Source organism: Homo sapiens, chromosome 3 (genome assembly GCF_000001405.40).
Source record: "Homo sapiens chromosome 3, GRCh38.p14 Primary Assembly".
In the NCBI taxonomy this organism is placed as follows: domain Eukaryota; kingdom Metazoa; phylum Chordata; class Mammalia; order Primates; family Hominidae; genus Homo; species Homo sapiens.
This window is the reverse complement of record NC_000003.12, coordinates 164612138-164627864: the sequence shown is the minus strand read 5'-3', so window position 1 is coordinate 164627864 and position 15727 is coordinate 164612138. Positions and strand designations below refer to the sequence as shown.

General features: G+C 33.2%; 1 long non-coding RNA gene across 9 annotated transcripts in view; it reads right to left on the bottom strand.

Moving 5' to 3' along the window:
- The window catches only part of LOC105374191 (uncharacterized), a 237185-nt gene that overhangs the window by 60007 nt on the left and 161451 nt on the right, over positions 1-15727 (bottom strand). For 5 of the 9 annotated variants that reach the window (XR_924663.2, XR_924659.3, XR_924661.3 and 2 more), the window contains exon 3: positions 7390-8540. This is a non-coding gene — a long non-coding RNA (uncharacterized LOC105374191). Of the gene's footprint in view, positions 1-7389; positions 8541-11362; positions 12067-14225; positions 14298-15727 lie in introns of those variants that run through there. The other 4 variants (XR_001740998.2, XR_001740999.3, XR_007096284.1 and 1 more) reach the window with 3 other exon arrangements.

Sequence of the window (15727 nt, the reverse complement as noted above, 5' to 3'; positions counted from 1 at the left end):
GGGCCAAAGTGGGAGGATCACTTGAGCCCAGGAGTTCATGAACAGCCCCAGCAAGATAGCGAGGGACCACCTCTACTAAAAATAAAAATTAGCCAGGTGTGGTGGTGCATGCCTGTGATCCCAACTACTCTGGAGACTGAGGTGGGAGGATCACTTGAGCCCAGGAGTTTCAGGCTGCAGTGAGCCATGATGGTGTCATTGCACTCCAGCTTGGGTGACAGAGTGAAACCCTCTCTCAACGAAAAAAAGAAAAAAAAAGAAAAAAGAAAACAGAAAACAAACTGGGTGCAGAAAATAGATGCAGCCCTCCCAAGATTTAAAACCACTTCCAAAGAAAGCAAAAAGAAAGAAAAAAATCTTTGTTGCCTGTAAAATGACATCTCTCATCTCCTATAAAACATAGAATGCCTCTGGTCACAGATTACTAGGGTGAACAACTAACCAAGCAAGAAGGGTTGAGATGACAAACTCTCTTGAGAGCTGGTACTGCCAAACAAAAAATTCTTGGACTCCCAGCATATTCTACTGGCTGCCTGACACAAAACAATACTTGCACCCTCTAGCTGGGAGAGATCAGAAAGAATAATCTCACTGGTTATAAAGCCAAGCTCACAGGACATAAAATTAGATGAACAGGAAAGAGATAACCATCCCTGGGAGAGAAGAAAATCAGTAACTAATGGATCTTCTAAAACCAAATTTACACAAGAGTGACCTTTCAAACAAATGATTTTATCCTGCTACTCTGAATTTGGTAAGGAAGGGAAAGAAGAAATTTTCTGTTTCAACTGGACACCACTATCAGAGATCTGGGAGGGCTGACCTGGGTAAAAATTCTTACCTTTCTGTCAGCTTTTTCTCAGTTGTCGCCGGATCTCATCTGTAGGCTGCAGAGTGAGTGGGTGTCTGAGCTTCCCCGGTTTGGGTACCAGAAACCGTCGGGGATAAAAATAATATCTTTTCCTCACCAATCACAAGGCTGATGGCTGACACCCCCATAACAAAAGGCAGATTAACCAGAGAAAAGCATACAAATTTATTTAATATCAATTTTATATGACATGGGAGCCATCAAAATGAAGACTCAAAAAAATGGAGAAATATGTGTATTTTTATAGACGGATGTGCAGAGATAGGATTGGAGGACAGAAGGGTACGATCTATTGGTAATAAATTGGCAAAGCCTGTTTGTTCAGATTCTTCTTAGCATCACTGTGTGTCATTCCTTTCCCCTAGGTAGGGCAGGACACCTGCCACATGAAGGTTTTCAGGGAAGAAGGAAAAGAGAAGATCGGAGAGCGACCCTCCTAGGTTTTATGGGTTGCTTCAGGAAAAAGAATGAAGAGAAGGTGAATGTATCTTACTGCTTCCACTGTTTTCCCAAATGCCAAAGTACCATATTATGGGGTAGCATGTCCTGAATCCAATCACTGGCAGATAGTGGTCTTCTCCCTGCGTCTTCACGCTATCTTTCCTCTGTGTGTGTATGTGTCCAAATTTCCCCTTCTTATAAGTACATCATTCCTACCGAACTAGGGCCAAGCCTAATGATTTCATTTTAACTGAATTATCTCTTGAAATACTCTGTCTCAGGACAAAGGTACTAGGATTTAGGACGGTAACATATAAATTTTGGAGAGATGCAATTCAACCTAAAATAGTTTCCAACATTTTCTACTTACTCCATGTACATTTCTATGAAATTTTTTCTTCTTGAGTAAATAGGCTGAGCTGGAAAAAAGATGAAACCTCACTCTTTTGATTAGCTTATTAATCAGTTGACTTTGTGTTAATAAAATAAGAAAATTTTCTGAATGTATTTGACCTAATCAGGTGAGTTCTCTAAACGAAGGTGTAGTGTAAGACAGATACTCTCCTACTGGACTCAAAAAGAAGCAAACTGCTGTGTATGAGGGCCTATTGAGAGGGTTGCATGGCAAGATATTGGAGCTGAGAGTGGTTTTTAGGTGACAGCCAACAAGAAAACTAGACCTCAGTCACAGAGCCACAAGAAGAAACATTCTGCTAACAACCATGTGAGCTTGAAAGAAGACAGGAGCCTCAGATGAGATCAAATCCCTACTGAAATCTTGCTTTCACCTTGTTGAGAGCCAACTAATATGTATTCAAATCCTGTCACACAAAACACATGAGATAATAAATTTATGTTGATTTGAGATGTGAAATTTATGGTAATTTGTTTTATAGCAATCAAAAACTAATTAATGATCTAAAATGAAACACCCATTCTATGTGCACATATTTTTCTTCATAATTGATCCATTATCTATCAATAATAGATATTTTAATGATTAGATAGCATTGTTACAAATGTGTTATATCAGACACATGAGAATCTTAAGCAATACATTAAATATTTTTATCTCAAATTTCATTTTAAAAAAGAAAAATATATTGTGTATTTGTGTTAATTTAAAACTATGAAATAAAATGCTCAAGAGTGCAATATTTAAGACTTTGCCCTTTATGAAACTCAATTTTTTATCAGATGTTAGAAAACCAAAGAAAAAGGAAACATGTATGGAGAAAATATGTAGAAGTATATAGATAGGAAAATATAGAGGTATTAATTAACATTATAGTGGTATTCACATATACATTAAAACAACCAAGAATTAGGACTTAAAGATTCATGAGGCCAGTTAAAGACAGAAGGATGTGATTCAACATGTTACATATGAATTATTTTTAAAGCATGATGTGAGAATTCAATGAATAATAATATGAAGTAAACATCAAATTGAAAACAACCTTTGGACATTTTTGGCCACTGTGTCTCAGAAATTAGAAACAATATAGAATCTTTCCTGCTAGTTAAGTAATTGAATAAATAGGACCACATAAGCTTGAAGAGGAAAACAATATTCTCGTGTGTTTTTTTAAGAAATAATTCTATAAGATATGAAATTTCCTCGCCTATTCTCGGAGAACAGCTCTATGATACATATATGTTGAGCTGACTGAGCTGAGCACCATATGGAGGACTTACTATTTATTTATTAATGTTTTTTTTTTCCTTTGAGTCCCTATGGTGAGTACGCTTAAGTCCCTGCCACAATAAGGTGTTAAAAAAGCCACTCACCCCACATTTGCCTTTTGTCCTAACAAGAGAGTTCATCTGTACATTGAGGCACAGAGATATTTTATAGCTCCTTATTTAATGACTCAAATCTCTCACTAACCAGAACAATTAGCTCCTATTATTACAACACATTAATATATCTTCATCTTCCAAAAGTTCTGCATAATTACATTTCTACAAAATTGCCTATACAATTTGAACTTCATTCCTAAATTGATTTTTTTGGGGGAATGGGTGTTATTTTTTCTAAAGCAATGTTACATATTTTTTGTTTTATCTTTAATTTTATTGCCTTCTGTTCAGAGATTATTGGTGATAACTATGCAGATTATTATAAAGTTTCACAATTTAATATAATTTTGAAAGGATATTGCATTGACATTATGAATTTTTAGCATTATCTTAAATATAATAATGAACATATATGAAAGAATGACATATTATTACATATTTGATATTTCAACCTATGAATTCATTTTCAAGTCCTAAATTTTCCTTATTTTTGGTCAGAGACATAAATATGCATTATATTTTTCTATATTAATTGTAATTTTTCAATCTCTTTTTTGATTTTAAAGAGTATTATGCAAATGATAAACTTTGTTGTATTAACTACCTTTTGTTTCCTCTTTTTCTTTCTTTTTTTTTTTTTTTTTGTATTTTTAGTAGAGTCGGCATTTCACCGTGTTAGCCAGGATGGTCTCGATCTTCTGACCTTGTGATCTGCCCGCCTCGGCCTCCCAAAGTGCTGGGATTACAGGTGTGAGCCACTGTGCCTGGCCTCTTTCCTCTTTTACAGTCCTCGATTTTATATGTTTTTGCCCTAAATACAGCATTATCTCAAGGAAAGACTCTTATAATCAAACTGTAAAATACTCGCTTTTGGATTTTAAATGCAAGGGCCTAAATAAATAAATAAATATGTGAGGAGAAAATATGTGAAAGCTGGGAGTTCTTCTCTTCTGATAATAGAAGATGAAGATTCTCTTAGCTGGGGGAGTGAAAAGAACTAGTTAGAAATCAAGAGTTATACTCTCTTGAACTTCTATGTATCTTAAAGAAGGGACTTTGTAAATTTAAATTTTATCATAGCAGAGAAGAAAATACATATTGAAAACACAACCGTGTCTGAAGGATCTAAGAGAAGAGGGCCAATCTATTGCTGTTACGAAGGAGGAACTAAACTGTATAGCATACAAGCAGTAGTCGAAGATACGGCTCCACTTGTTATTTGGGCAGGAATACTTGGCCCCATATCCCCTCACCAAGTTTTCCTGTGTTCACTTTGACTGAGAAGCAACCAAATGACTCTCATAAGGTCAGGAGAGGTATAGAAGTAGCCAATGGAAAGGGATAGGCCTAAGAGAGCTTCATGTATGGTGTAAAAGAGAAGCTGCCATGATCTACTAAAAATCAGAGACTTTTTGAAAGCATAAATGTATTAGAAAAATCAGCACAGACAGGTGAAAAACAACTCTGGTAAGTGAGCTAGATGCCTGCATTGACTGAGGAAAACTTGAAAAGACTTCACTAAAACTGACAGATTAGGTTTATGATATCAGTGGAATAAGTCTCAAAGTAGGAATTAAATTCAGACATGAACAGATTATATATATATATATATATATATATATATAGCATTTATTAAACTCAGACAGACCAATATATATACTTTTACATGTATATTCACTTATATAAATACATCTATTTTTCATTTTTCAATTACATAAAAGGATATGTGTATGTTTAGTTTATGTATGTCTATATAAATATGTAAATAACCGCATAAATTACACTCTAGTCATTTTGAGATCTAAGATTACAATCAATGATATCATATAATTTATTTTTAATACAAAATGTATTTTTAATAGAAAAATTTAATAAATTGGCAGTTATCAGCATGGCTAATTCATCAGATGTTACTTGTATCATAGTGTGTAGAATGTCTTTTTTTTACACCTTCTGATTTTCATTAGTTTATCTATGTCTCTATAGATCATAATTTATTTGAATATATTTTTAAATACTTCTCATACATTCTACATACATATTTTGCTATTCTTAAAGTTGCTAAAATATTATTCTTCATTTTCTATTTTAATCATCAGTGATAACATTCTATCTTTTAAGCAATTTCTTATATATGAAATAAAATGAGAAAATACTTTTATTTTTCTTCACAACGTCTTTCTACAGTTTATTTCTACAATCTGAAATTTTTAGATGCTTATTGTTTTGAATATTTAATTTTATTGTTAATTATTTTTACTTTACTGCCTTTTTTCCAAATTTTATTTGACATGTGTCTAACTCTTAACAGCAATTATGTTATTTTGTATGTTGTTTTGCTTTATTTGCTTATCATCAGCCTTTTATCTATTTCACAGGGAAGTTGAGATGTACATTGATTGTTTTCTTCTTTGGAAATAAAGATAATACATTGTTGTTACTGTTTTGGGTGGCTTTTTTGTTTGTTTTGGGGTTTTGTTTTTTGTTTTTACAGGCTGGTTGTGTGCAAATCTCTTTCTTTATTATTAAAATTTATACTTACCAGATTTTCACTATGTGTATTTTTCTTCCAAGAAATTTTACCTAATAACTGGCTAGCTTTTTGAATGTAGTTGTATTTCCTTCAGCTTAAAGAAATAATATCTAGTATTTGAAAGAATTTTGCTAGCTGCTCTTATAATTTGCTGATTAAATTGAAGTTATATCTAAACTTTATTAACTATTTTATTCATTGAAGTTTGTCTTTCATGCTTTTTTATTTACAATAGTAACACATGGATATAATCTTGATAATAAAAAATTAAATAGTACAGATAAAATTAATGTTACTCCTTGATTAGTCTCAATTTCCAAACCATTCTCCTGTACAGAAGGTATTTTTTTAGTGAGAAGTTAAGATATCTAGTTCTTTTTTCTATATATTTATAATTACACATGGGCATGTTCACATGTACACACACACACACACACACATACACACACACAAGGGAGTTTTGATTTGTCGATTTTTCCCATAAATGAGATAAAGCAAAACAAAATGTTCGTCTTCCTTTTGTCAGTTAACATGTCTCTAAATTTTTTTATGTGAGTTTACAAGGTTTTACACATTTTTTAAAGTATTGCCTTATACTTTCTGGTATAGATATAAAACAGCTCAATATTGATAAGCATTCAGTTACCTTTAATTTTTTACTTTATAAACAATTATGCGAAGCATATCTTTTGACTAGGTTTGTTTTTCACCTCCAGGCATCTGTCTCATTCACAAGTATTATCTCAACATGTAACGCAGCGACCAAGAGACAGTAAGTACAACATGGTGTATGTAAATTATCAAAACCTTTGGAGTAGTTATAGCAATAACAAAACATTTATATGAATTTGACACATGCTATATACAAATGACTAACCAGGCCTGGCATGGTGGCTGGTGCCTGTAATCCCAGCTACTTGGGAGACTGAGGCAGGAGGATCACTTGAGCCTAAAAGTCCCAGGCCACAGTAAGCTATGATCACACCACTGCACTCCAACCTGGGTGACAGAGTGAGAACCTATTTCAAAAAAAAAATCAGTGGTGCTATAGAGATTCCAATGGAAAGCACCCTAAGGTGGTCGAATGATGTAAGTGTTTTCTGTTTGACAATAATATGACAGAAATGGATACTACATAATCATGTTTTTAAAAACATGATTAAAAATAACTTGAGTTCTTGAAGCACATAATTTGTTTTCTTCAAGATACAGGAAAACAATTATTTTTTGGAAGTTTCATGTGTGAACCAGAATTTTTTAGCTTAAAAAACAAAATCCAGGGTCATTTTCAATATTGTCTAAAGATAAGCAGAAATTGATACAGGGATCAATTTTCGATAATGACAAATTATAATATAAATATCGACCATGGAAGATGGTCAAAAGGCAGAAAATATTTAAGATAAGTATATTGCAGATGCTAACCGAGGAAAAAGTCATTTCCCGTTGACATTTTTCAAGTTTTTATTTCCTAGTTTTTCTAGTTACTGCTCTAAAATACGTGGTTTAAGCATTTTGACAAGGAAACGTAAATTAGCTATGAACTGTTGGCTCTCTGGAATGACACATTTGACCCTGGGCTATGACTAATTGGGACATATACCCATGGGCTCCAGGCAGCAGACATCTTGGCAGAGGCTCTGGAAGGCTGATGATAGTAATAAAAGATGCTGATGGACTAGGTCTTTGAGGTGAAAAAATGAAGGGAAAAGATATCAGGATTGAAACTCATTCACATATAATCATTCCAAACTCTCTCATTTATTATTAATTAAGTTTAGCATGCCAGCATCATAGTCCTCACATTCTTTTTTGCCTGAATGTTGCCGTTTTCTGTTTTTTCTTTGTTGTTGTTGTTGTTGTTTTTAAGATTTCCCTTTTTTCTCATTTTAGGCATATTTCAGTGGATTGGAAAGAAGGGGTGTCACAATTTGTTTGGGAGATGAATTGTGAATTATAGTTCTGCTTTGTCCATTGTAATTTTCTCAAGGTTGCATGACATAATATTACACTTTAGTTTTGAAAAGTCTTTGACTATGTTAGCAACATCAGAGCAATCAGTCAAATCCAACCCTCTTAAATATCTAAGTTTAGAGTAGAATTAGTATGATTCTCAGTATTTTATTATAACAGATATGAGAAAAATATTTTCAAGGAGACCAATCCTAATACAAGAAGAAATCACTCAACAAAATAATACTCTAGTCATTTTCATAGATTTATTCAGAGACTCTGTTAGTCTGCTCAGGCTGGGATATGGTTTGGATGTTTGTCCCCTCCAAATCTCATGTTGAAATATAATTTCCAAAATTGGAGGTAGGTCTTGGTGGGAGGTGATTGGCTCATGGGACAGATCCCTCATTAGTGGTTTAGCACCATCTCCTTGGTGAAAGTGAGTTTCCCCTCAGTTCACATGAGGTCTTGTTGTTTAAAAGAGTCTGGGACCTACCGCTTCTCTGTCTTTCTCGCCACGTGATATGTTGGCTTCCCTTTGCCTTCTGCCATGTTTGTAAGCTTCCTGAGCTTACGTGTGATATGTTGGCTTCCCTTTGCCTTCTGCCATGTTTGTAAGCTTCCTGAGCCCCTTGCCAGGGGCAATTGCCAGCACTATGCTTCTGTACTGCCTGCAGAACCATGAGCCGATTCAACTTCTTTTCTTTATAATTTACCCACTCTCAGGTGTTGCTTTATGGTAATGCAAATTGACTAGCATAGGCTGCCATAACAGAATACCACAAATTGAGTGTCTTAAAGCACATAAAATTAATTTTCTCACAGTTCTGGAGCTTAGAAATCCAATATCCATCAGGGTTGGTTTCAGGTAAGTTTTCCCTCTTTGTCTTGTAGGCAGACACCTTCTGGCTGTGTACTCATATGGCCTTTTCTCTATGCCTGCAGAAAGAAGGAGAAATCTCTGGTGTCTCTTCCTCTTATTATAAGGACATCAGTCCTTTTGGATTAGGGACCAATTCTTATGACCTCACTTAACCTTAATTACCTCCTTAAAGGATCTGTCTTCAAATACAGTTACATTGGAAGTTACAGCTTTAGTATATAAATTGTGAGAAAACATAACTCATTCCATAACAGAGATGATACTAAAAATATTTCACAATTAATAGATCATGACACCAACCACTCACAATGGGAAACAATAATGATCACAACAGTGTCATAAAAGCCTCAGTAAAGTCTCTATAAACGGATTTTTATTCTAATTAGAATTAGTTTATTAACTTTTGGTCTTACTAAACCATACACTAAGTCTGTTCAGTATCAGTAAAATTGTACCCACATTAACTCCTTGAAGGTAATATTTACTTCCACAAACTTAAAACTTACCAAGTAAAATACACAAAAAAAAATCTGTATGGGATAATAGTAATAACTATAATGCCTCTCAGCTGGATGCTACTATAATCTAGAACTAATAGCCATAGTCATCAAAATTATTATTCTTGGCTAAAGATTAAAAACAATTCTGTATATGCTCTAAATGCAATGCATACCATAAGAAAACTCTAGTTTATTTTCATTACCTGAACATCCAACTTTCCAATTACTGATACAGCTTACACTATTACTGCCCTTTAGAACAGGCTTTATAATTTTTCTTTTCTTGGGATTAAAATGATCATTTCATCAAACAATGTATTTTCTACTTAAGTTTTTTAAAAAATATGTTAACATTTATTTGCAAGATTAAGAAAAGACGCACATTTAAAAAAACAAAAAATTCATGCAAATGCTTAAATATCTTTTTCTACTTTAACATAGTGATGTTTCAGCTGACAATCTTAACATTATGTCTCCAAGAATTAAATCACATTTTCCATAAATCCTGATTGGAAATGCTTTCCTATTTAGAAGAATTTTTTTTTTTTTTTTTTTTTTTGAGATGGAATCTCACTCTGTCACACAGGCTGGAGTGCAGTGGCACAATCTCAGCTCACTGCAACCTCCGCCTCCCGTGTTCAAGTGATTCTCCTGCCTCAGCCCACCAAGTAGCTTGGATTACAGGCGCCTGCCACCACGACCGGCTAATTTTTTGTATTTTTTTTTTTAGTAGAGACAGGGTTGCACCGTGTTCCCTAGGCTGGTCCCACACTCCTGAGATCAGGAAATCTACCCGCCGTGGCCTCCCAAAGTGCTAAGATTACAGGCATGAGCCACCGCACCTGGTCTCAGATGATTTTAATAATAGCACAAATCTTCTCCTTTAAATCCCATTGACGAAAACTAAGTCTCTTGTCCATCCCTAGTGGCAAAAGAAAATGAGCATAGTGCATTTTAACCTTTATCTAACCATGGATTAGACAGTTGTCATATGCCATACTCTATGAAGGCAGGAAATATTATTTCTCTTAGTCCATGCAGCAACCAAACAAGAGATTTATTATTATCCTCATTTTATGAATGCTGTCTCATTGTCACCATAAATCACTGAAAGACAGGAATATTTTGTGATGTTGGCACCTAAAACTAACTCTACTGTAACTACCTACAAATCATGTTCCCAAACTTTGCCAAATTTTAAGTTCTTATTTTCAATTTAAAACATATGGTAACTACTTGTGTCTATTAGATACATTGTATGCTACAGACTGGAGGTGACATACTCCTTTATGGCTCTTATGAATGTCATGAAACTTTACTTCTATTTAGTTATAGTGTTGGAACTAGAATATGCCTTGTGGTGGTGAGAGTGGGGGTGGAGAACAAAGAAGAGAGAGAAGGAGGGAAAGAGGGAAGGAAAGATTCAGTTGAAAATTAAAAAAAAAAACTTACGATTCAATTAGATTTTTGTCTAATTTTGCTTATGGTGAGCCTTGAATAAAGGTATTAGCAAGGAAAGCCATTAAAAGCAATCTGAATTCCCTTAATAAATATTTTGAAAGTACAAAAATAGTGCTGAGCATATAAAATAGATATAATATTCAGAATTTAGTAATTACAAGAGGATTTGTCCTTTGAGATCAAAGTTCAATTTTCTTCTAGCTTTCATTCACTAGAAAACCTCTTATTTTTACAATATTAAAAAATTCTGATTATCACTAACACATTGATAAACCAATTTTTGAAGTAACCTTAGTTTGAAAGAGATGTCTTAACATCTTAATGTAATATATTTAAATTTCTGAGAAAAGAAATTCAGAATCCATTTTTAATTGCTAAAGGAAAATACTGCCATTACCTAGATATCAGTTAACTAAAAATATATATATATAGTGTTAAATTAATGTAGTGTATTATTAATTTATATGTAGGGAAACAGGTCTATTGTTTAATATCTTTTACTAAATTGTCTAAAGTACAATTTTATATCTAAATATAAACACTAGTATTTCTAAGTATATAGAACAATGCCACAAGTCTTATACTTCAACAACTGTTGCTCTACACAAACTTGAGAACAGTATGTTTTGATGGGAAGATGGTAGAATCTATAACCAGGTCTGAATTTTAGTTTCCACTCTTTGATCTGTTAACCTGATGGTACAGATTGGACAATTCTACATTTCCAATTGAGATCTTTATTTTATAAAACTATTAACAATAAAACTCAATATCTTAGTCAGTTTGAGCTGTTACAAAAAATTACGATAGACTGAGTGTTTTATAAACAACAGAGACTTACTAGGTTGTTTATAAACAACAGAAGCTTATTAGGTTGGTCATTAAAATGGCAAAACCACAATTACTTTTGCACTAACCTAATATTTATCACAGTTCTGGAGGCTGGAAGTCCAAGACCAGGCTCAATTCTGGTAAGATTCTTCTTCCATCTTAGAAGCTACTATCTCTGTTGGCATCCTCACATGGCAGAAAGAGAATAAGAGAGCTCTCTGTGGTCCTTCTTATAATGGCACTAATTTCACTTATGAAGGCTCCACCTTTATTACCTAATTACCTCTTAAAAGTCCCACTTTCTAATATCATCATAATGGGGATTAACGTTTGTGAGGAAACACAAACATGTAGTTGGTTACACCCAATAAGCTATCATGAGAATACAACAAGATAGGTGAAAGCAATTACTATATCCCTGACACTCAGATAATATTGATTTTCTTTCTTTCCATCAGATCACATGATCCAAAGACACTGATATCTCTAAAGACCTATAATTTCTTCATTCCTTTTGTTATCAATAAAGAAGAAAAAGGAAATATATTTTCTGATCACAGATTTTGTGGCTAGAATTATACACAGATTTAAACATTATATGTCTAAGCTACTCTGCAAACCTAAAAGAAAGACATTTTTTCCTACACATTAACTGAGATCTAAACACTTAATGAATTCTCCAATTTAGCCAAAAAGTGATCAAAGCAGGGTTCCTTTCAACCATTTGATTTCACCTCTAATTTCTGCAATTTGCATTGCTTTATCATCCAAGGAGTAGATCTGGTGATTTCTAAAGAATGGAAGAAAATACAAGTGCATAGTTACACTGGAGTAATGAGGATAAATATTCATACATACAGCATAATTTGAGGGAGGGGGAGGATATCAATAAATAAAATCTAGACATTTTTCTATCAGAAATGCCATATTTTATGTATTTGAAATGATCTAGAAATATTAAAATTGATGTAGCAATTGTATACTTTGTTAATTGTTTCCTTAAAGAGATACAGGACCAATGGAATAGGTAGTTCTTCATATCAAAATAAGATAAAATGCTCCCAATCTTGTATGTCTTTTGCAGGAATTTAGCTTGATGTTATCATTAAAATTCAATGGTCATTTCACCCTCAGAACATTAGTAAATGGACTGATTACTTTGATAACAGTAATAGCTGTTAGGCACTTCCTTGATAAATCTCTTAAATTTGGAGGACTTTGAAGCAAGCTTACTAGAAAGATACTGCACTGTTCCTTTATCTACAGCAAAATTTCTCCCACGATTTTTAAAATAACTCCACTAGGATTTAAATTTATTATTGTTCAAAGGATTTTCAAAATGCTGTTCCCTGAAAAGAGTGTGTTGTTAAATACATTTAGGGAAGTTTTGGTGTTTTCAACCATTTTGAAACAATTTTGACTCAGTAACTTATAAATAATTATTTGTACAGAATTTTTTACACAAATACAAATAGTTGCTTTTTATTTCTAGTTATAAATATAACATTAATACATGAGAGGAAAATGGAAATATATAAATTACATTATATGCAATTAAAAAATAGATTATTTACCTAAACACAAAAGCTAAAACTATTAAAGTTCAGGGGGAAAAAAAAAGAAAGGAAAATATCATTGTGGCCATGAGTTAGGCAAAGCATTTTTAGGACAGGATAAAAAAATACAAACCATAAAAGACAAAAAAAAAAAAAAAACAAATAAAAAGATTTAGATATCATCAAAATTTAAAATTCCATCCTTCAAATATATCATGAAGAAAACAAAAAAGGAAATAGACTCAGAAAATTTCACAATACAACTATCTGAATAAAAAGGACAACATTTTAAAAATATAAAATCATAGAAAACAATTACTGTTATGTTTGTTATTACTCTTAGAAAACTCTTAGAAACAACACACTAGTGATGACAGAAAATTATGTTACCTTAGTGGAATATTTTATAACCCTATGTTGCACCGACATTTAAAGATAACTAATGAAATAATGCCATATTATTAACAATGCAAAATAGTACAAATTCAACTGGAGTTCTTCTGAAAAAAACGTGAACTACAAAGTATATATCTCAAAGCCCTCAAATTTTTAGGTATTGACACTTGAAGTAATTTATTCAGACATTTGAGTTATGTCTTACTTTTTATGATTATATACTTTTTAGGAAAGAAAAGAGTGAAGGAAGCACAATAAAAAATAGAAAAGTAGTTTTCATTAATTTTCCAATGAGTTCTCAGTTCCTGTAGTTGGTAGTTAATTGAAAGGTTTCCAGTGGTGTCAAAGGAAATAACATAAGTTGTTTTGACAAAAAGTTGTAAATGAAGTCCACCTTTTTAATTAGTACCCTGAATGTTGACCATTCTAAGCACTAATTTATTACTGGCCTTTTTAACCTCAGCTATGAACAATGTGCTATAATGAAATTTAATTTAACTCCTACATTAAATTTTTTTTAAAAAGATTGTTAATACTAAGCCTGTGAAATTATTTTTTAAATGTGGACAAGTTCAATTAAGACCCACAAAAGGAAGTGAGGGTGTCATCTGGAGGAGAACTTCTGGCCACGCATACTAGTATCTTAATGAATTAATCATTGTCCAGATTGACATTTGGCTTGCAGAACAAGAAACTCAATCTCATCACCATCCTAAAGCTGTTTCAGCTGGGTAATGTTAATTTATGTCAGTAAAGCTAAGAAAGATTGAGAATAAAATTTAAAAGATATGATATGAGGTATCACTCCCAGGATATTAGATAGGTGAGACAATCTGACTAACTCATACTTAATTTTAAAATAAGCTACCCAGTAGAACAAGTAATCAGAGGCTGAGTTAATGCTCAGATAAAAGAGACATAGTTTAACAAATGAAAGTAAAAATCCAACAGGCTCTAACAGTTGGAGATAATATAGCAAAGTTTGCCAGATACTTACATAGGGCATCAGGGAACTGCTTCAGGACAGTGAGTTAGTTAGTTGGCATTGCATCCCTTTGTGCCTATGACCCTGCAAAATGTGTGTGAAATTTACCTTATTCTAAACGATTAAGATTTTTTTCTGATTAGGTTGATATGTTAAACTATTTTATGTTTATGCTCTATGGGTACTGGAGTTGTCCTGTTAGATACAGTGTCTTATAATCAATCTAGATATTCCACACAAAGTGTGCCTATAAATGCAAGTTTCTTTTCTTCTCTGAGAAAAGGATTTCATAGTTTTATTAAATTGGAATCATGTCCAAAAATTTATAATCTGCTGATTTAAGGCAAATTGGGCATCTATCTCTTTAGTTCACAATTTTGATTTCAGAGGACAATCTTGTTTACCTTATTTCCTAGAACTGATGAGGCATATGACTTTTGCTCCTTGAATGAAATATAAGTTTAATAATCACAAAAGCAAAGTTATGTACAGTTTTTGAAAGCATGTATTAATTTTATATTGCTACATAATGCATTAACATAAACTTTTTAGCTTAGTAAACATTTATTTATTATCTCACAGGTCTGTAGGTCAGATGTTCAGGTGGGTTTGGCTGGTTTGTCTGGACAATATCTCACAATACTTAACCTACAAATAGGCACTTGTCTGGAAACTGAAAGAATCCACTTTAAGCTAAGTCATGTGGTTAGCAAAATCTAATTTTAACAGCTGTACAGGAGGCAAAATTTTATCTCTATCCTTTTAGATTTTTGGTTGGGCTTGAGAATTAAATGGACATAAAACAGATTAACAGGAGAAAAACATACACATTTATGTAAGTTTTATGTGACACAGGAGCCCTGATAAAGAAATGAGGACCCAGAGAAGTAGCAAAACCTAAATGTTTTTATATTAGGCGAAACAAAGACAGGCAATTGTGGAAAATTAAATGCTGTGGGGAGATAAAAGACATATAAGAATTATCTTTACATGATCTACTTGTGCAGAATTCTCTTGATTATGACTCTTTGGTTATGTTTCTTTTCTCCTAGTATAGGCAGGGAGGGTACCTTCACATGGGAGTTTTTTTTTTTTTTTTTTGACAGAATCTCGCTCTGTCACCCGGGCTGGAGTGCAATGGCATGATCTCGACTCACTGCAACCTCCGCCTCCTGGGTTCAAGCAATTATCCTGCCTCAGCCTCCCCACTTGGGAATTTTTATTTCCTTTTTTGCAGGAAGAAAAAGGGAGATTAGAATGGCTTTATTGCATCTAATGTTTGTCAAGTGCCTTTAGCTCAAAGTAATCTATATTATGGAGTGGTATATTCTGCCACACTTCACAGTGGTGAGTCTGGAATCTCTGTAGCCTTGCTGGCTGTCAGGTACAGGCCACTCACTGTTTCCAGAGGCCACAGCCTTCTTCTCATGTGGCCGCCTCCATCTTCAAATCAGGCATTGGTTTAGACAGATGAGACAATCTGACTAACTCATACTTAATTTTTAAATAAGCTA